Here is an 18,097-nt window from a genome sequence, read left to right on the forward strand (position 1 = left end):
CAAGGCTAACATGGTGAAACTCTGTCTCTACTAAAAATACAAAAAATTAGCCAGGTGTGGTGGCGGGCGCCTGTAGTTCCAGCTACTTGGGAGGCTGAGGCAGGAGAATGGCATGAACTGGGAGGTGGAGCTTGCAGTGAGCCGACATTGCACCACTGCGCTCCAGCCTGGGCGACAGAGCGAGACTCTGTCTCAGAAAAAAAAAAAAAAAAAGTCTATAAAACCCTGCCTCTGATTTATTCTTCTGTGTCTCTCTCTCTTAGTTCACTAAGTTCCAGGCACATTGGCTTCCTGTAGTGTCATGAACGTGCTAAGCTGGTTCCTACTTCAGCATCTTTATACTTGCTGTGCTCTTCTCCTAATATCCTGGCCTGGCTTGTTCCTCCTCATCATTCTGGTCTCTATGCAAATGGCATTTCCTTGGAGAGACCTACTCCAATTATCCTATTTAAAATAGCCTTCCCCCTGCAGTGAGCCAAGATGCACCACTGCACTCCAGCCTGGGCAACAGAACAAGACTCTGTCTCAAAATAAATAAATAAATAGCCTTCCCCTATTCACCCTAGTCACTATCTCCCTACCATACTAATTTTTTAAACAGCACAAATACCTAAAATTACATTGTTTATTGGTTTACTTTTTATTGACCTCTAAAATATAAGCTCCATCAGGGAGGGAATTAACTGTCTTATTCTCATCTGTCAGTCCCTAATTGATATACAATAAATATTTGCTTGATGAATGTTTAAAACTAAAACTAGATACTAAGACCTAATTACAAAGATTGTATGCTAATGATTTTTTAATGTAGAAGCTAATAACAGTACACAAATCCATCATTTATCTCAGAATGAGTCACTATAAATAAATGTTGATTTTAAAAAATATCTTAAGCGGAGGCAGGAGGATCACTTGAGGCCTGGAATTCAAAACCAGCCTGGGCAACATGGCAAGATCCCATCTTTACAAAAAAATTTTTAAAATGTGCCATCCATGGTGGTGCACAGATGTAGTTCCAGCTATTCGGAGGCTGAGGCAGAAGGATGGCTTGAACCCAGGAGGTCAAGGGTGTAGTGAGCAATAATCGTGCCACTGCACTCCAGCCTGGGTGAAAGAGTGAGACCCTGCCTCAAAAAAAAAAAATCAAAAACTAACAATAAGGTTGGGCATGATGGCTCACGCCTATAATCCCAGCACTCTGGGAGGCCAATGCAGGCAGATCGCTTGAGCTCAGAAGTTTGAGACCAGCCTGCGCAACATGGCAAAATTTTGTCTCTACAGAAGATACAAATATTAGCCAGGTGAGGTGGCATGCACCTGTAGTCCTAGCTACTTGCAGGGCTGAGGTGGGAGGATCACTTGAGCAGGGGAGATAAGAGGATACAGTGAGCTAAGATCACACCACTGCACTCCAGCCTGGGCGACAGAGCGAGACCCTGTCTCAAAAACAAAAACAGGCTGGGCGTGGTGGCTCACGCCTGTAATCCCAGCACTTTGGGAGACGAAGGCGGATGGATCACTTGAGCCCAGGAGTTCGAGACCAGCCTGGGCAACATAGTGAGCCCCTGCCTCTATAAAAACAAAAACAAAACCTAACAATAAGACTATTCACTGCTTATTTAATAATTTGCTATTATATATCTTAATATAGTCTCAGAATCTGCTCAATAAATACTATAAAATAATTGAAAGTATTATATAATCAACCACATCACATTAACAAAAAAATAAAGGTCCCAAATAGAACAGGAAAGACTAAAAACAGAGAAGTCGATCTCAATCACCTTGTAGGTCTGTCACCTTTATTTTCATATCATAAGAGCCTGTTAGCAAGTAGTGAGCTCCAGGGGAGAATCGAACAGAGCGAACATCACTGGAATGAGGATGATAACTTTGTACCATTCTTCCTCCTCTTATGTCATACAACATGCAGCTAGAATCTTCTTGACCTGTGGCTAAGAGACGACCACTGGGATCTACAGCTACAGATGCCACTGCACTGCCTGTAGTGGTAGGAATGAAAGTTTAAATACAGAAAATCAATATACCCAAATGGCAACACAGCTGATTATGTCCATTGAACCATATACTAAAGATTTAATGTAGTTTATCAATACTATTCAGCGATGAAAAAATCCAAATTAACAGTTAACCAATAAACAGTTGTGTCCTTTTAAGGCCCAAGGCCTAAACAAAATTTTGTAAGAAATGAGAAAGTCCATTTTTTGTCATTTGAGAGAACTGTGTGCAACAGCATCACCTATAGTGCAATAGATGAGCCATGCTACAGAAACCACTTTTCTCAATCCAGTGTTTTCACTACTGGAAGTATCTAGAAATGCTCCTATACCCAGCTAAGAGTGTAGTTAAAGAGACAAGAAATTCAGTAACAAAATGTATTTTAGGACAACAGTATAGGAAATGTACTAAAGCAACACAAGATTACTGCCAATAGGAACTGTGAACAGAAAATAAGCTCTTGGGGGCATATATTCAGGGCAACTTGAATCCTTGTCTCCCAGAAATAAAATAAATAATTTTATTTTATAAATTATTATAATTAATAATTATTTTGTTAATTAATTATACAGGCTGGGCGCGGTGGCTCATGCCTGTAATCCAGCACTTTGGGAGACCGAGGCAGGTGGCTCACAAGGTCAGGAGATCGAGACCAGCCTGGCCAACATGGTGAAACCCCATCTCTACTAAAAATACAAAAGTTAGCCGAACGGAGTGGCACGTGCCTGTAATCCCAGCTACTCACGATGCTGAGGCAGGAGAATCGCTTCAACCTGGGAGGCGGAGGTTGCAGTGAGCTGAGATTGCGCCACTGCACTCCAACCTGGGCGACAGAGCGAGACTCCATCTCAAAAAAAAATAATAAATTTTTTTGAGACAGAGTGAGACCCTGTCTCAAAAAAATAAATTAAAAAAAAAAAAGTTTGAATAACACTGCTCTAGACCAAAGTGGTCTAGGAAGACTTCATAAAAAAATGGGACACAAGTTAGACCTTGAAAAACAATAAACAGCATAAATAAGAGTATGTATGTATGTATACACAGGCGAACACATACATTTGTATGTAATAAAGAATAATCTTTTCTTGAAATACTGAAAGAGAAGAGGGCTATTACGATCAGGAAGAATTACATGAGAAAAGGTTTAGAGGAAAAGTATAAAACAGCTTACAGGAAGGTAGATCAGTTTGGCTGGAGATAAAAGTTAACTTGAAAGGCAGCTTGAAACTGAAATGCAAAAGGTAGGTTAGGGCCAGGCCGTCAAGCGCCTAAATCTCAAACTGCAGAGTTTTGAACTTGTCTCTGTAAACAGTAAAGCATCATTGTAGGTTTCTAAGCAAGAGAATTACATGATTCGAGCAGTACTTTGAGTAATCTAAGTGAAAATGTGTATCAAATTAAAGTGGAAAGATTGTAGAACAAAAGAGGCCACTAGAAGACAAGAAAGATTTCAGGAACAAAACCTGAATAAACAGTCAACAGTCTTGGAAATTAACTGCCTGAGTGGGGCAGTTAATTAAAATAAAGCAAAAATGAGTCCCAGATTTCAAATCTAGTTGCATGAGAAAATAAGAGAACCATTATCAAAACTAGGGAAGAGGAAAAAAAAAAAACAGTAAGGAAGGTGGGAAGAATAACTGATTTAGAGGAGAAATACAGTTTAGTTTTACACGTACAAAGTTTATAGTGTCAACAAAAATCTTCATTCGTTTACTCAAAAAAGTTATTAAATCATTACTCCCTTAGGCCAGGCACTATGGTAGGTGCTAAACCTCTTCTGAAAATAAAACAGGTATCATTGCTGCCTTGATGAAACTTAAAATCTATTGGAGGAGGTAAGCACTAAACAAGTAAACAAGTACATAATTTTAAATAGTGATAAGAGTTCAGTAATAGAAAATAATGGCGAGGTCCCAATTAGGTAAGTCAAAGAAGGCCTCTCTGGCTAGGTGGCATTGAAGTTAAGACCTAAAGACACGAAGGACCTAACCATGAGAAGACAAGAGGAGGAACATTTCCAACTAAGGAAACAGCATATGGCTTTACTGGACATGGGAGGAGCTTGGCATGTTCCAGGAATTGAAAAGAAAAAAGTAAGTGATCTGAGGTGAGACTAGAAGGGTAAAAATGCCAAATCAAGCAGGCTCCTGTAGGTCGTGATAACAAGTGTGTACTTTAAGATTTAAAGTCACTGAAGGTGTGAGGTGACCAGGCTTATTTTTTCAAAAGCATACTTTGACTGCTACGTGGATTGCAGACTAAAGGGAGCACAAGTGAAAGTGTATGGTAAGGAAGCTATTGCTGTGGTTCAGTTGAGAGATGATGGTGGTTTATGCTATTTATCCTAGAGTGGTAGCAATAAACAGGAAAATAGGTAACTGGGTTTTTTTCTTTTTTTTGAGACAGAGTCTCACTCTGTCGCCCAGGCTGGAGTGCAGTGGCATGATCTTGGCTCACTACAACCTCCGCCTCCCAGGTTCAAGCGATTCTCCTGCCTCAGCCTCCCCAGTAGCTGGGATTACAGGCGCCCACCACCACGCCTAGCTAATTTTTTTGTATTTTTAGTAAAGGCAGGGTTTCACCATGTTGGCCAGACTGGTCTCGAGCTCCTGACCTCAGGAAATCCACCCACCTCGGCCTCCCAAAGTGCTGGAATTACAGGTATGAGCCACCACACCCGGCCAGGTGCAACTCCTGGAACATTTAACTTTTAGATCATGTAGCTGAGGCATAAAGTTGTTATATACCATGTTTGGTGTAAGTTTGTCTTACTGTTTCTCTACTAAGAACTCTTTTTAAGGCCAGGCGCGGTGGCTCACGCCTATAATCCCAGTACTTTGGGAGGCCAATGCGGGCAGATCACCTGAGGTCAGAAGTTCGAGACCAGCCTGGCTAATAAGGTGAAACCTCGCCTCCACTAAAAATACAAAAATGAGCTGGGCGTGGTGGTGCCTGGCTGAGGCATGAAAATCGCTTGAACCCAGGAGGCAGAGGTTGCAGTGAGCTGAGATTACACCATGGCACTCCAGCCTGGGCGACAAAGTAAGATTCTCAAAAACAAAAACGAGCTGGGCGTGGTGGCACGCACCTGTAGTCCTAGCTACTTGGGAGGCTGAGGCAGGAGAATCACTTGAACCTGGGAGACGGAAGTTGCAGTGAGCAGAGATTGCACCACTGCACTCCAGTCTGGGTGACAAAAGCGAAACACTCTCTCAAAAAAAAAAAAAAAAAGAACTCTTTTTAAATGTGGCTTGTTATTGTAGCACTTTTTACACTGAAACTATACTTGAACAGTTCCAAGCTGTATATACTGTATGAAGCTTGTCCTCTGAATGCATTTTAATTTCTACATGAAATTTCATATCTTACAGTGTCCCGTAAATAAAGATTAAAGTCCATCCTTTAATTAAAAAAAAAAAAAAAGGCCAGGCACGGTGGCTCACGCCTGTAATCCCAGCACTCTGGAAGGCCGAGGCAGGCGGATCACGAGGTCAGGAGATCGAGACCATCCTGGCTAACATGGTGAAACCCCGTCTCTACTAAAAAATATACAAAAAAATTAGCTGGGCATGGTAGCAGGCGCCTGTAGTCCCAGCTACTCAGGAGGCTGAGGCAGGAGAATGGCGTGAACCCGGGAGGCGGAGCTTGCAGTGAGCCGAGATTGCGCCACTGCACTCCAGCCTGGGCAACCTGGGTGACAGAGCGAGACTCCGTCTCAAAAGCAAAAAAAAAAAAAAAGAATTTTATGAGCCTAGCACACAGAATAGGTTTCAGCTAGAGATAAAAATATAAGTCTTTCAGTATATGAGTTACACTTAAAGCCGGGGAAATGGATGTAATCATCTAAAGAAAGAAGAGACTAAAGTCCTGAGTCCTAGGGAATGCCAGAATTTAGAATTTGAGCAAAGAGAAAGAGCCAGCAAAAGAATAATACCCAGAAAGGTAAGAGAATAGCAGAAAGCCCAAAAGAAAAGTGGAAGAAGTCAACTGTGTTGCATGACACTGAGAGCTGAAGCAAAATTAGGATATAAAAGTGATTTGACAACCAGAAGTTTGTTGGTGATCTTGAAAAAGACAGCATTTGTTATAATGGTTGCAGCAGGAACCACATTAGAATAAGTTAAAGACTGAGGGTAAGGAAATGGCTAACGATATATATAGGCAAGACTTTTGAGATATCTGAGTAAAAAAGGAAGCAAAAATTGAGGGTAAGAACTGGAAGGGGGATAAGGAGATCAAGAGATGAATTTTTGGCATTGCCAATTCCATAAAATGTTTGTATGTGCATGATAGAGAAGCAGAGGAGGAGAGATACAGTAAGAGGAAGACATTAATGTTATCAGAGAGAGGAGACGACCAAAAACTAGAAGTCTCTGAAATGGAGAAAAGTGGCCTGAAAATAATGTAGAAAGCTAGAGTTTAAAAATAAATTAGTGGTAAGTGTATAGAAACTACACAAATAAACAAACAAACAAACACAATTATTAACCCCAAGGAAAATATACACAGGAAAAAAAATAAGCCATGAATGGCATCGTCCTGGTTAAAATAATGTAAACAATGACTAACTGAGCTAACCAAAATTGATATATCAAAAAGATGCAGAGGGGCTGGGCAGGGTGGTGTGTGCCTATGGTCCCAGCCACTCGGGAAGCTAAGGCGGGAGGATGGCTTGAACCTGGAAGTCAAAACTGCAGTGAGCCATGACTGCGACACTGCATTCCAGACTAGGTGACAGAACAAGACCCTGTCTCAGAACAAAACAAAACAAAAAAACAAAACAAAAGAAAAGATGCAGAGAGAGGAAAAATATATGTGAATGTGGGATGATGGGAGTTGGAAAGGCACATGAAAAAGTTAAATCTTAATCTATGGTAGGAAGTCAATAAATAATCCTAAAGATAAGAAAATAAATAAATACGAATATTTCCCTTATTCACATACAAATTCTTCCTCTCTCCACATCTTTTCAATAGAGTTATATCAGTTTTGGTTAGATCAGTAGTCATTGTTTACATTATTTTAACCAGGGCAATGCTGTTTTTCTTAATAAGCCTTATTGAATTGCTTGATTTCTTAAACCAGGGGTCCCCAAGCCCCAGGCCACTGACTGACAGCAGTCTATGGCCTGTTAGGCACCGGGCCACACAGCACGAGGTGAGTGACAAATGAGTGAGCATTACCACCTGAGCTCCGCCTCCTGTCAGATCAGTGGTGGCATTAGATGCTCACAGGAGCGGGAACCCTACTGTGAACTGCACATGTAAGGTATCTAGGTTGCGTGCTCCTTATGAGAATCTAATGCCTGATGATCTGCAGTGGTTTCATCCCTAAACCATCCCTACCCCTTCCCACCCCACCCATGGAAAAACTGTCTTCCACGAAACTGATTCCTGGTGGGTGCCAAAAAGGTTGCGGACTGCTGCCTTAAACTGTCATATATTAATTTTGAAAATGATACAAACTAAATTTTAACAAATCAATGATCATGGACTCAAATGTGCTGTAAAACATCATATCTGGTTTGAATCAAAGTGCAGAAAAAAGTCCATGAAACTCAAAAGAATAAACAAGGCATTAAAAAAAACACTAAAAATTTAGAATACAAGGCAGATCTTTTCACTTGGAATAGTACCATAGAATTCTCTTCTAATTCTGCTATTAAAAACTACAAAGGACCAGGCGTGGTAGCTCACACCTGTAATCCCAGCACTTTGGGAGGTGGAGGCAGGTAGATCACCTGAGGTCAGGAGTTTGAGACCAGCCTGGCCAATATGGTGAAACCCAATCTCTACTAAAAATACCAAAATTAGCCGGGTATGGTGGTGGGCGCCTGTAGTTCCAGCTACTCAGGAGGCTGAGACAGGACAATCACCTGAACCTGGGAGGCAAAGGTTGCAGTGAGCCAAGATTGTGCCACTGCACTCCAGCCTGGGTGACAGAGGGAGATTCTGTCTCAACAACAACAACAACAAAAAAACTACAAAGGCAGAAAAGGTACTTCAGAATAAAATAAGGATAAAGGCAGAATACTGTGTCACTCTTAGATACCATGCTTAAAAGGTGGTACAATGCAGCCAGGAGTGGTGGCTCATGCCTGTAATCCCAGCACTGTGGGAGGCTGAGGCAAGCAGATCATGAGGATAGGAGATCAAGACCATCCTGGCCAACATGGTGAAACCCCGTCTCTACTAAAAAATGCAAAAAATTAGCTGGGCATGGTGGCGGGCTCCTGTAGTCCCAGCTACTTGGGAGGCTGAGGCAGGAGAATGGTGTGAACCCAGGAGGCAGAGCTTGCAGTGAGCCAAGATCACGCCACTGCACTCCAGCCTGGGCGACAGTGTGAGATTCCATCTCAAAAAAAAAAAAAACCAAAGAGGTGGTACAATGCAAAGAACAGTACATGGAACAATCCAAGACATCCTGTTAAGTTTAGAAAGAGAAATTTGTAATGCATGCTACCATTTGTGTGTGTGTGTGTGTGCGTGTGTGTGTATTTGTGTTTACAGGAGAAGGGAGATTAGGGTACATACAAACTTTCTGGTTACATATTTATAGAATATTTCTGGAAGAATAAATAAGAAATTGGTCCTTTAGTGAAAGAGAGACCAAGAAATAGGAATGGAAAGAAAATAGTACACTCTTTTGTTCAATTTCACTTTTTGCCATGTGCATGCATTTTAAAAAATGTTTCTAAAGGTCTGAGTTCTAAAATGGCCCTGCTAACAGACAATCTGGGACATTATATTTAATCTCCCTGGGCCTTGGTTCCCTAAGCTGAATATTATTTTTACAAATAAGGTAACAAATGCAAGTATTGTGAAAGAACTGAAAGTAACTAATAAAATATCAAGTATTTATTTCACAATTTTTTCTATTTTTTATATTGCAGGGGAGAAGAAGTAGACTAGTCTAATTTACAAAGTTTTTTTCCCATATATATCATTTAAAGAAAAACCTACCAGTTCCATGAAATGTTGTGCCAACAACACGAACACAACTTGGTACTCGAAGATCCCAAAATCTAACAGTCTTATCTTGGGAACCAGATGCAATCATCCAGCCACTCCAGGTATAAAGTGCTAAAATATGCCCTATAAAAGATCATATACTCAATTATTAAGGTGGGAGAGTATCTTTCCATAACATATTCAAAGCTAAGCACTCTAGAGTTGGGCAAGGTGGCTCATGCCTATAATCCCAGCTACTCAGGAGGCTGAGGCAGGAGGACTGCTGGAGCCCAGGAGTTCGAGGCTGCAGTGAGCTATGATCAAGCCACTGCATTCCAGCCTGGGCAACAGTGCAAGACCCTGTATCTGAAAAAAAAGAAAAAGCTAAGTACTCCTTATTTACAGGGCAAGTGGTGGTCTGGTTAGTCAAATATACTATGTGATAGAGATTTTTCACATTTATCAAATAGATTGACAATTTTAAAAATAAAATAAAACTCAGTAAAATGCACAACATCAAAACCATACTAGGCCAGGCATGGTGGCTCATGCCTGTAATCCCAACACTTTGGGAGGCTGAGACAGGATGATTGCTTGAGCCCAGGAGTTCAAGACCAGTCTGGGCAACATAGTGAGACACCATATCTACAAAAAAATTTTAAACTATCCAAGCATGGTAGCACGTGCCTATAGTCCCAGCTACTCAGGAGGCTGGGTGGGAGGATCACTTGACCTCAGGAGGTTGAGGCCGCAGTGAGCTGTGATTGTGCCACTGCACTCTGGACAGTAAGAGCAAGACCCTGTCTCTTAGAAAAGAAAATGCAGAGAGGAAAAAAAAGCACAGATTGAACAAAAAGAAAAACAGCACTTGAAACTGATATTACATACCAGTATGTCCACTCAAAGCATGGAGGCCCTGTCCTCTTTGACAATCGGTTGTATAAATGTTACAATCCCCTGCTCCAGCACTTATTAAAATAGCTCCTCCGCTTTCTGGGCCTTCCATAAATGCCAAGTCTCTAATTGTTCCATCATGCATACTAAATTCCAGATCTGGTCCTGAAACAGTAGTAAGAATTAAAAAAAAAAAATGCTGCTCAACTTACTGTGATAACTTGAGATTGCTAAACTACCTCAAAACTGGTCAAGAATAATGGTTTAGAAATATGGTTTGTATTTTCATTTAGGGATTGGTATTATAAGCAGTTTCACTTTACTGAGCAAAGAATTTTATCAAAATAGCTGTTACCACAGGGTTATCTTGTCTCTTATCCCAAAGAAAAAGAAGACAAGTGATCTCTAGAAAACATCTGGTAGCTATTTAAAGGCTATTTTTCTAATAATAATTTTATAAAACTCAAACACCACCTAGACACCTGTAAGAATTTACTAAGAAAGAGTAATACCTCATGAATGTAACTAAACAATTAGAATTATTGAAAAAATTATTCTTTAAGATTATATTCTTGGATTTCATTAAAGACAATACAGAAATACAACATGGAGAAAACATAACATATACACTGGTAAGCTAGCTACTGCTTACATACTTGGGCCCTACCTGTTGCGTTACAAGTCTCTGCATTGAAGGGCAGCACTTTGACGTATTTGTCATTTGATCCTGTTGCTAATAACTGCCCACAAGGACTCCAGGCCACACAGTAAATGGATCCTTTATGATGTTTATTCCTTTTAAAACGTACCACCGGCTGCTTAGGAGTCTCATGTGCACTGAAAAGAAAAATTACAGAAATATATTTCAATTTCTTGCTTGCTACAATCAGTTATGAGGTTCCATATTATACTTGTTCTTGAAGGAAGGAGAAAAAGCGTGTCAGACAACAGCTTATTAATAGTTTTCAAAATCATAGAAGAAATAAAATTAGCAGCATACTTAAAACCCAAAAAGTAAAATTATAAACCAAATCATACTAAACTCTCATTTCAGATGACAAAGGAAACAGGATATACGACTTAAAAAAAAAATCTCCGTTTCTCATATTTTTCATGGATTTTAAACTCAGAAACAAAAAAAATTAAAAAAGCTAACAATGCTTCCAAATTTAAAAAAAAAATGCAATAAGCATGTAATAAACATATAATAAACACATAATAAACATGTAATAAACATATAATGTGAGCAATGTGCAAGAGTTCTGTCCAGAGTTTAAAATCTGGTACAGGTAGATATTGTCATGAGACTACCCATATACAGTAAGGCAAGTATAAGTTGTTACATAGTCCAGTATAAAGCACTGGGCCTTAAAGGATAAGGCAAATTTTTACAGAAAAATAAGAAGGCAGGAGAACCACTTTAGTGACAATAAAATATAGTAGGGAAAGTACTGGCTGAGCATGCAGCAATGGAAAGAGTCTGTGGGGCTAGCAGTGAAAAGCATGAGGTATTTAGTAGAGTGAGCAGGAGTGATGTGGTGGGTGAGGCACTGCAGGCTCAGCTGTGGAGGGTTCTAAATGCCATGCTCCTCAAGAGTTTGTCCTTTAATGACAGTCAAACATTGGCTTAGTGGGGTAACAGCATTTTATCTACACTTTGAAACACGAACTAATATGACACTAAAGATTTCTAAATCAGGTATAATGATAAAATCAAGTCTATGTAAGAAAATGTACATGTTTCTGGAGATTCATCCTGAAGGATGAAAGGGTTAAATGACATATCTAAGATTTAAATACTTTAGCAAATGAACAAAAAAAGATGAATGAAGCAAATGTGACAAAAATCTTGACAACTATTGCATTTCAGCATACTAGTCTACTTTTGAGTCTTTGAAAATGTTCATAATTAAGAAATGTTTAAAAAACAAACAAGAAGACTGACAAATCTCTAATACCTAAAAAGTGTTTAATATTGATCTAGGCAGGGTGTGATGGCTCAGGCCTGTAATCCCAGCACTTTGGGAGGCCGAGGAGGGCGGATCAAGAGGTCAGGAAATCAAGACCATCCTGGCCAACATGGTGAAACCCCGTCGCTACTAAAAATACAAAAATCAGCTAGGCATCGTGGTGCATGCCTGTAGTCCCAGCTACTCAGGAGGCTGAAGCAGGAGAATCACTTGAACCCAGGAGGTGGAGGTTACAGTGAGCTGAGGTCGTGCCAGTGCACTCCAGCCTGGCGACAGAGTGAGACTCTGTCTCAAAACAAAAACAAAAAAAACCCAAAAAACTGATCTAGAGAACAGACCAGATAAAAAGATTTTCTTTTCAGCTGCACAACCAATTATCACCAAGTCCCACCGATTCCTTCCTTAAATGGATTATACCTCTCAAATCCACCCACTTTGCTCCACCTCCACTGCCATCACATTACCATCAAATACAAACAGCTTCCTCCCTCTCTCCCAGTGTCTCCTCTTATTGCCATCCAATCACAGGCAGAGTCATCATCTCAAAATACATTTACACTTGATCTGCTACTTTCAGTGGTGTCCCACTGCACTCAGCATGAAATATAAAATGGCTAGAAAGCTCTGCCTAATTTAGTTCATGTCTATCTCTGCGGCCTTATCAAACTCAAGCTCATAATTTTCCAACCAATCTGAATTTATTTCAGTTCCTAAAAAAAGCCAAGCTCTTTCTCACCTCACGTTCCCTCTATATTATTCTCTTCTCCCTTCTCTTTACATAGCTAGGTTACTCCTCCTTAGATCTCAACTTTAGTGCCTCTTCCTCAAAGAAGTCTTTCTCTGACTCGCCAGTTTGCACCCTACTCCATCCCCATTTTATTCTCACAGCACGTTGTAATCTTTCTTCATAACATTTACCAAAATGTATATTTGTGTTCATTTGCATTATATCCATCTTCCCCACTAAACAAGAAGTTCCATGAAGCCAATAAACATGTTTGTTTTACACACAACTATAGTACCTAGCACATAGGAGCCCAAAATATATATTTGCTAAATAAATGTATTTATTTTCAAATCAGTTTCTTCACAGCCTATGAAACATCTGTGTCTGTATAAGAAATACAAAAGATGAGAAACAGTTACCTTAAGTTCAAGTTAACCCTAAACATATAAGTCTTTGGTTCTACCTCCATAATTATTGCTATTTCTCACTCCCTTATAGAGAATTTTGCCATTCTTTCTTAAGTATTTCGACTTAAATAATGCAGTGAGCACCAGTAAATTATAATACTATCAATTAACATGGACCTTATTATATTCCCTTTCCCAATCATTAAATGCTACCACAGTCCAAAAGCCTAAATTATTGGTTTCAGACATAGAGATAGCAAAAAAAAAAAAAAAATGCAAATAAATGAAAAATCCCACCCCTGTTTCTCAAACTAGGGTTATAATTAAAAAGTCTTAAGAGGTGTAAAAGAGTAAGAGTTATATGTAAATTACATACATAATTTATAAATAGGTGTGTATGAATAGGAAAAAACACAGTATACGTAGGGTTCAGTACCAGCCAAGGTTTCAGGAATCCACTGGGGTTCTTAAATGTATCCCTTGCAAATAAGGGGGGTCTACTATATAAAGACTTTTCAGATAAAAAACAAAATACAAAAGCCATGGAAATAAAGAAGTCTAAAGCCATAAATGAGCAATGTTGTAATCAAAAACATTTTATGAAAAAATTATGAAGTTAATGACTTAAGTATATTTCCTAAGCACTGAAAGTAAAAACAGTTATTTTATAACAGAAAATAAAGTTTAATCGAAGGAAAGAAAGTAAGATTTGAAACACTACTGAATGGCAATTCTGAAAAAGGAACCTATACGGCTAAATTAAAAACTAAGGTAAGAATGGCAGCACAAATCATTGATCCTTACCTTGGATCAATTACATCTGGATAGGCACATACTCTCAGAGTTTTTGAATTTGAACCAACAGCATATAAACCTCCAGCTGGATGAAAAGCCACTGCTCTAACAGCTTGTGTGTCTTCTAGGATATTAATACAAACAAACTGCTTTTTTGATTTGTCATCCTATGGAAAGAATGAATATTAGTTATCCTATTAAAAAAATGAATTTGAAAGAATTCATCTTTCTCCCATTTTAAATTCATTTGAACTTTATTATTCTTGTTGGATCATGTTAGGTTTACTGCCAATAACCATATATTCTTTTCTCTATGTTTTTCTTACTTTATTAAATCTTACTAATATCCTTTAAGAGGCAAACACACAGACAAGTAGGCTACAGTGAAGAAATCTTATTTTGGAGAGTTAAGAAACCACTAAGATACTTCCAGGTATTATCATCAGTGATGCTTCTTATCTTTACTCTGGGACACCAGGTAATATTAAACCCCTACAGCTACCACAAATGCAGCAAATCTTTGAATCCTTTTAATAATGCACCATCAGAGGAAACATTGTTTGCAAAGTCACCCATGTTTCTCTAAGCTTCATTACAGCCCCATAGATCCCTTAGCCCTCCTGCAGCCAGCTTCTCCTGGATAGTTTCTAATGGTGTTTCTTCTATCTTCCATTGTTTATAATCTGGAAATTCCATTTTACTATGTTCATGTTAACGTCCATGTCCATGGGCCATTTCTGTATTCTTTAGATGATTCTTTTAAAGTGCAGCATTATTGCTTTCCTTTTTTAAAAAGTTTTAATTTTTTTAATTAAAAAAAAATAGAGATGGAGTTTCGCCATGTTGCCCAGGCTGGTCTTGAACTTCTGGGCTCAAGCAATCTGCCCACCACGGCCTCTCAAAGTGCTGGGATTACAGGTGTGAGCCACCGCACCAGCCAATTGTTTGTTTTGTTTTGTTTTGTTTGTTTTTGAGATGGAGTCTTGCTCTGTTGCCCAGGCTGGAGTGCAGTGGCGTGATCTTGGCTCACTGCAACCTCTGCCTCCCAGGTTCAAGTGATTCTCCTGCCTCAGCCTCCTGAGCAACTGTGATTACAGGTACCCACCACCATGCTTGACTAATTTTTGAATTTTTAGTAGAGACAGGGTTTCACTGTGTTGGCCAGGCTGGTCTCAAACTCCTGACCTGAAGTGATCTGCTTGCCTCAGTCTCCCAAAGTGCTGGGATTACAGGCATGAGCCACCGCACCTGGTTCCAGCCAATTGTTTTTAAATACATATGATTACATGAAGTTTTTCTGACAGCAGTCTCCATATATTAAGTAGCATATTCAAATTCCCTAATTTTTCTATTTTTCATTACTCATTGCTAAACTAAGCTCAGTTCATAAACACTCAAGTTTTTCTTCAATTATTAAGACAAAATGTAAGAATAAATACGGGCCAGGCACGGTGGCTCATGCCTATAATCCCAGCACTTTGTGAGTCCGAGTTGGGCATATTGCTTGAGCCCAGGAGTTTGAAACCAGGCTGTGCAACATGGCTAAACCCCATCTCTATAAAAATGAAAAAAAAAAAAAATTTTAGACGGCTGTGGTGGTATGCACCTGTAGTCTCAGCTACTTGGGAGGCTGAGGTGGGAGGATCGATTGAGTCTGGGAGGTTGAGGCTATAGTGAGCCTGGGCAACACCTGTCAGGGAGGGGGAGATAGGAAGGGGGGAGGGGCGGGGCACCAAGAAGGAAGGAAAGAATAAGTATGCATTCCTATATTAAGTTCTCTTTAACTATTAAGAAAAAAAAAAAAGCCCACTAGAAGTTCTAACAAATAGAGTTTCATTTGTGTTTCTAAATGAAGGAAGTATAAAGGATTATTAATCTGCTTAAGAAAAAATGTTTACCATTATCTCTATCAATGAATATTTCAGTATTTCAAGCTGAAGTTATAAAATATCCCTTTAACAGCCTGGGCAACATGATGAAAACCCATCTCTACCAAAAAAAAGAAAAATAATACAAAAATTAGCCGGGTGTGGTGGCGCATGCCCGTAGTCACAGCTACTCAGGGCGCTGGGGTGGGGGGATCACTTGAGCCTGGGAGGTCAAAGCTGCAGTGAGCTGAGATCGCACCACTGCACTCCAGCCTGGGCAACAGAGCAAGATTCTGTCTCAAATTAAATAAATAAATAAACAAACATCCCTTTAAAACTGTAAAAATAATTTTAATGGAAACATTTGAATGTTTCATTTCTACTTTTTTTTTTTGAGATGGAGTATCGCTCTACTGCTCAGGCTGGAGTGCGGTGGCGCAATCTTGATTCACCGCAACCTCTGCCTCCCAAGTTCAAGCGATTCTCCTGCCTCAGCCTCCCAAGTAGCTGGGATTATAGGCATGCACCACCACACCCGGCTAATTTTTGTATTTTTAGTAGAGATGGGGTTTCACCATGTTGGCCAGACTGGTCTCGAACCCCTGAGCTCAAGTGATCTGCCACCTCAGCCACCCAAAGTGCTGGGATTACAGGTGTGAGCCACCACGCCTAGCCTCATTTTTACTTTAAACTGTCAACCTGTCCATCCAGATCTCTCTTCTGAAGAGAGATGCTGAAGCAGTTCTGTATAAAAGCTTTGGTGAACCTACTACTGATGTCATTTGAAACCACCGTGTTACCCTGACCAGGACTGACTGGACATGGTGCAGGAACCTCTACACTAGGTATGGTCAGACTCAACCAAACCCCGGCTTTGAGAAGTATGAATGTCAAGTACACACACAAAGGAAAATCACTTCAGCTCTGGATGTATTCTGAGAGGTCTAGGACCCATAATGACTACAGCAATGAAAAGACTATGCCTCTCTCTACCTAAGCCTTTATTCATGCAATACATCCTCCTTGCAGGAGTAGGGGGGCAAACCTGATGTGTTACGCTATGTATGTCCTATGTAAGTGAATTGAATTCTGATATTATTTGTATGAATTTGACTAGAAATGTTGCATTTTCCAATAATCCATACACAGGGAATGTGACTGTTTGCAAAATTATATAATAGCATGGGGTAGATAAGAGAAAAAGGGAGGAAAAACGACTAATTAACTAAATGGCCTATAGCACATCAAAAATTACTAAAGATTGCTTTATAGCAGAAGCCACACAAACTGATTTTATTTGCTGTCCTCCAGAGTGTTTTAAATTTTTTTTGAGACAGAGTTTTGCTCTTGTTGCCTAGGCTGGAGTGAAATGGCATAATCTTGGCTCATTGCAACCTCTGCCTCCCAGGTTCAAGCGATTCTCCTGCCTCAGCCTCCCAAGTAGCTGGGATTACAGGCACCCGCCATCACACTCAGCTAATTTTTTGTATTTTTAGAAGAGATTGGGTTTCGCCATGTTGGCCAGGCTGGTCTCAAACTCCTGACCTCAGGTGATCCACCTGCCTTGACCTCCCAAGTGTTGGGATTACAGGAGTGAGCCACTGCATCCAGCCTTAAAATTTTTTTAAATTTGTTGTCATTTAAAAAACTAGGTGATTTCACATAAAAATCTAGATTTCTAGCTTTTCTTGAAAATCAGGTCAGGTGCAGTGCCTCCCACCTGTAATCCTGGCATTTTGGGAGGTCGAGGTGGGAGGATTGCTTGAGCCCAGGAATTTGAGACCAGCCTGGGTGACGTAGTCACACCATGTCTCTATTAATATATATACATACATATATTTTTTGGAGACAGAGTCTTGCTCTGTCCCCCAGGCTGGAGTACAATGGCGCGATCTTGGCTCACTGCAACCTCTGCCTCCTGGGTTAAAGCAATTCTCGTGCCTCAGCCTCCCAAGTGGCTAGCATTACAGGCGTGAACCACTATGCCTGGCTAATTTTTGTATTTTTAGTAGAGACGGGGTTTTGCCATGTTGGCCAGGTTGGTCTTGAGCTCCCGACCTCAGATGATCCAACTGCCTCAGCCTCCCAAAGTGCTGGGATTACAGGTGTGAGCCACCATGCCTGGCCTAATATTTTTTTTTAAATCAAAGGAATTGGAAACACTGGACTTGCATATTTCTTTTGCAAGGGACAAATATTCCTTTGTGCTTATCATAAAAATGGTCAATTTTATTAATTTATGTTATCTATTTCATCCCTAAAAGCATCTCAAATTAACACCTTTGTTTATGGGGTTAAAATCTGAACTAGGAAAAGTAAGATAGAGTGAAGCTGTATACTAGCTAGGAAAGGATGTTTGCTTCCAAAGCAAAAAAAAAGGTGTACCGATGAGAAGCCCAAAGAGATACCAATAATGAAATTAACCATAGGGTTCAGAGAATAACACAGAGCCTCAATTCATGTCCCA

The 18,097-nt window shown here is 39.9% G+C and overlaps 1 protein-coding gene and 1 pseudogene across 15 annotated transcripts in view; both read right to left on the bottom strand.

Moving 5' to 3' along the window:
- WDR47 (WD repeat domain 47) overlaps positions 1–18,097 on the bottom strand; it is a 71,889-nt gene that overhangs the window by 2,538 nt on the left and 51,254 nt on the right. For 9 of the 15 annotated variants that reach the window (XM_011541028.4, XM_006710460.5, XM_011541027.4 and 6 more), the window contains 5 exons: positions 13,772–13,929; positions 10,531–10,700; positions 9,858–10,034; positions 8,982–9,113; positions 1,785–2,003 (listed from right to left, as the gene is read on the bottom strand). In XM_011541028.4, coding sequence (XP_011539330.1) covers positions 1,785–2,003; positions 8,982–9,113; positions 9,858–10,034; positions 10,531–10,700; positions 13,772–13,929 — 856 coding nt within the window. The remainder of the gene's footprint in view (positions 1–1,784; positions 2,004–8,981; positions 9,114–9,857; positions 10,035–10,530; positions 10,701–13,771; positions 13,930–18,097) is intronic. The other 6 variants (NM_001142551.2, NM_014969.6, XM_017000696.3 and 3 more) reach the window with 1 other exon arrangement.
- Positions 13,936–14,589, bottom strand: LOC107985160 (NADH dehydrogenase [ubiquinone] 1 beta subcomplex subunit 3-like; annotated as a pseudogene).

This window comes from Homo sapiens, chromosome 1 (genome assembly GCF_000001405.40).
Source record: "Homo sapiens chromosome 1, GRCh38.p14 Primary Assembly".
NCBI lineage: Eukaryota > Metazoa > Chordata > Mammalia > Primates > Hominidae > Homo > Homo sapiens.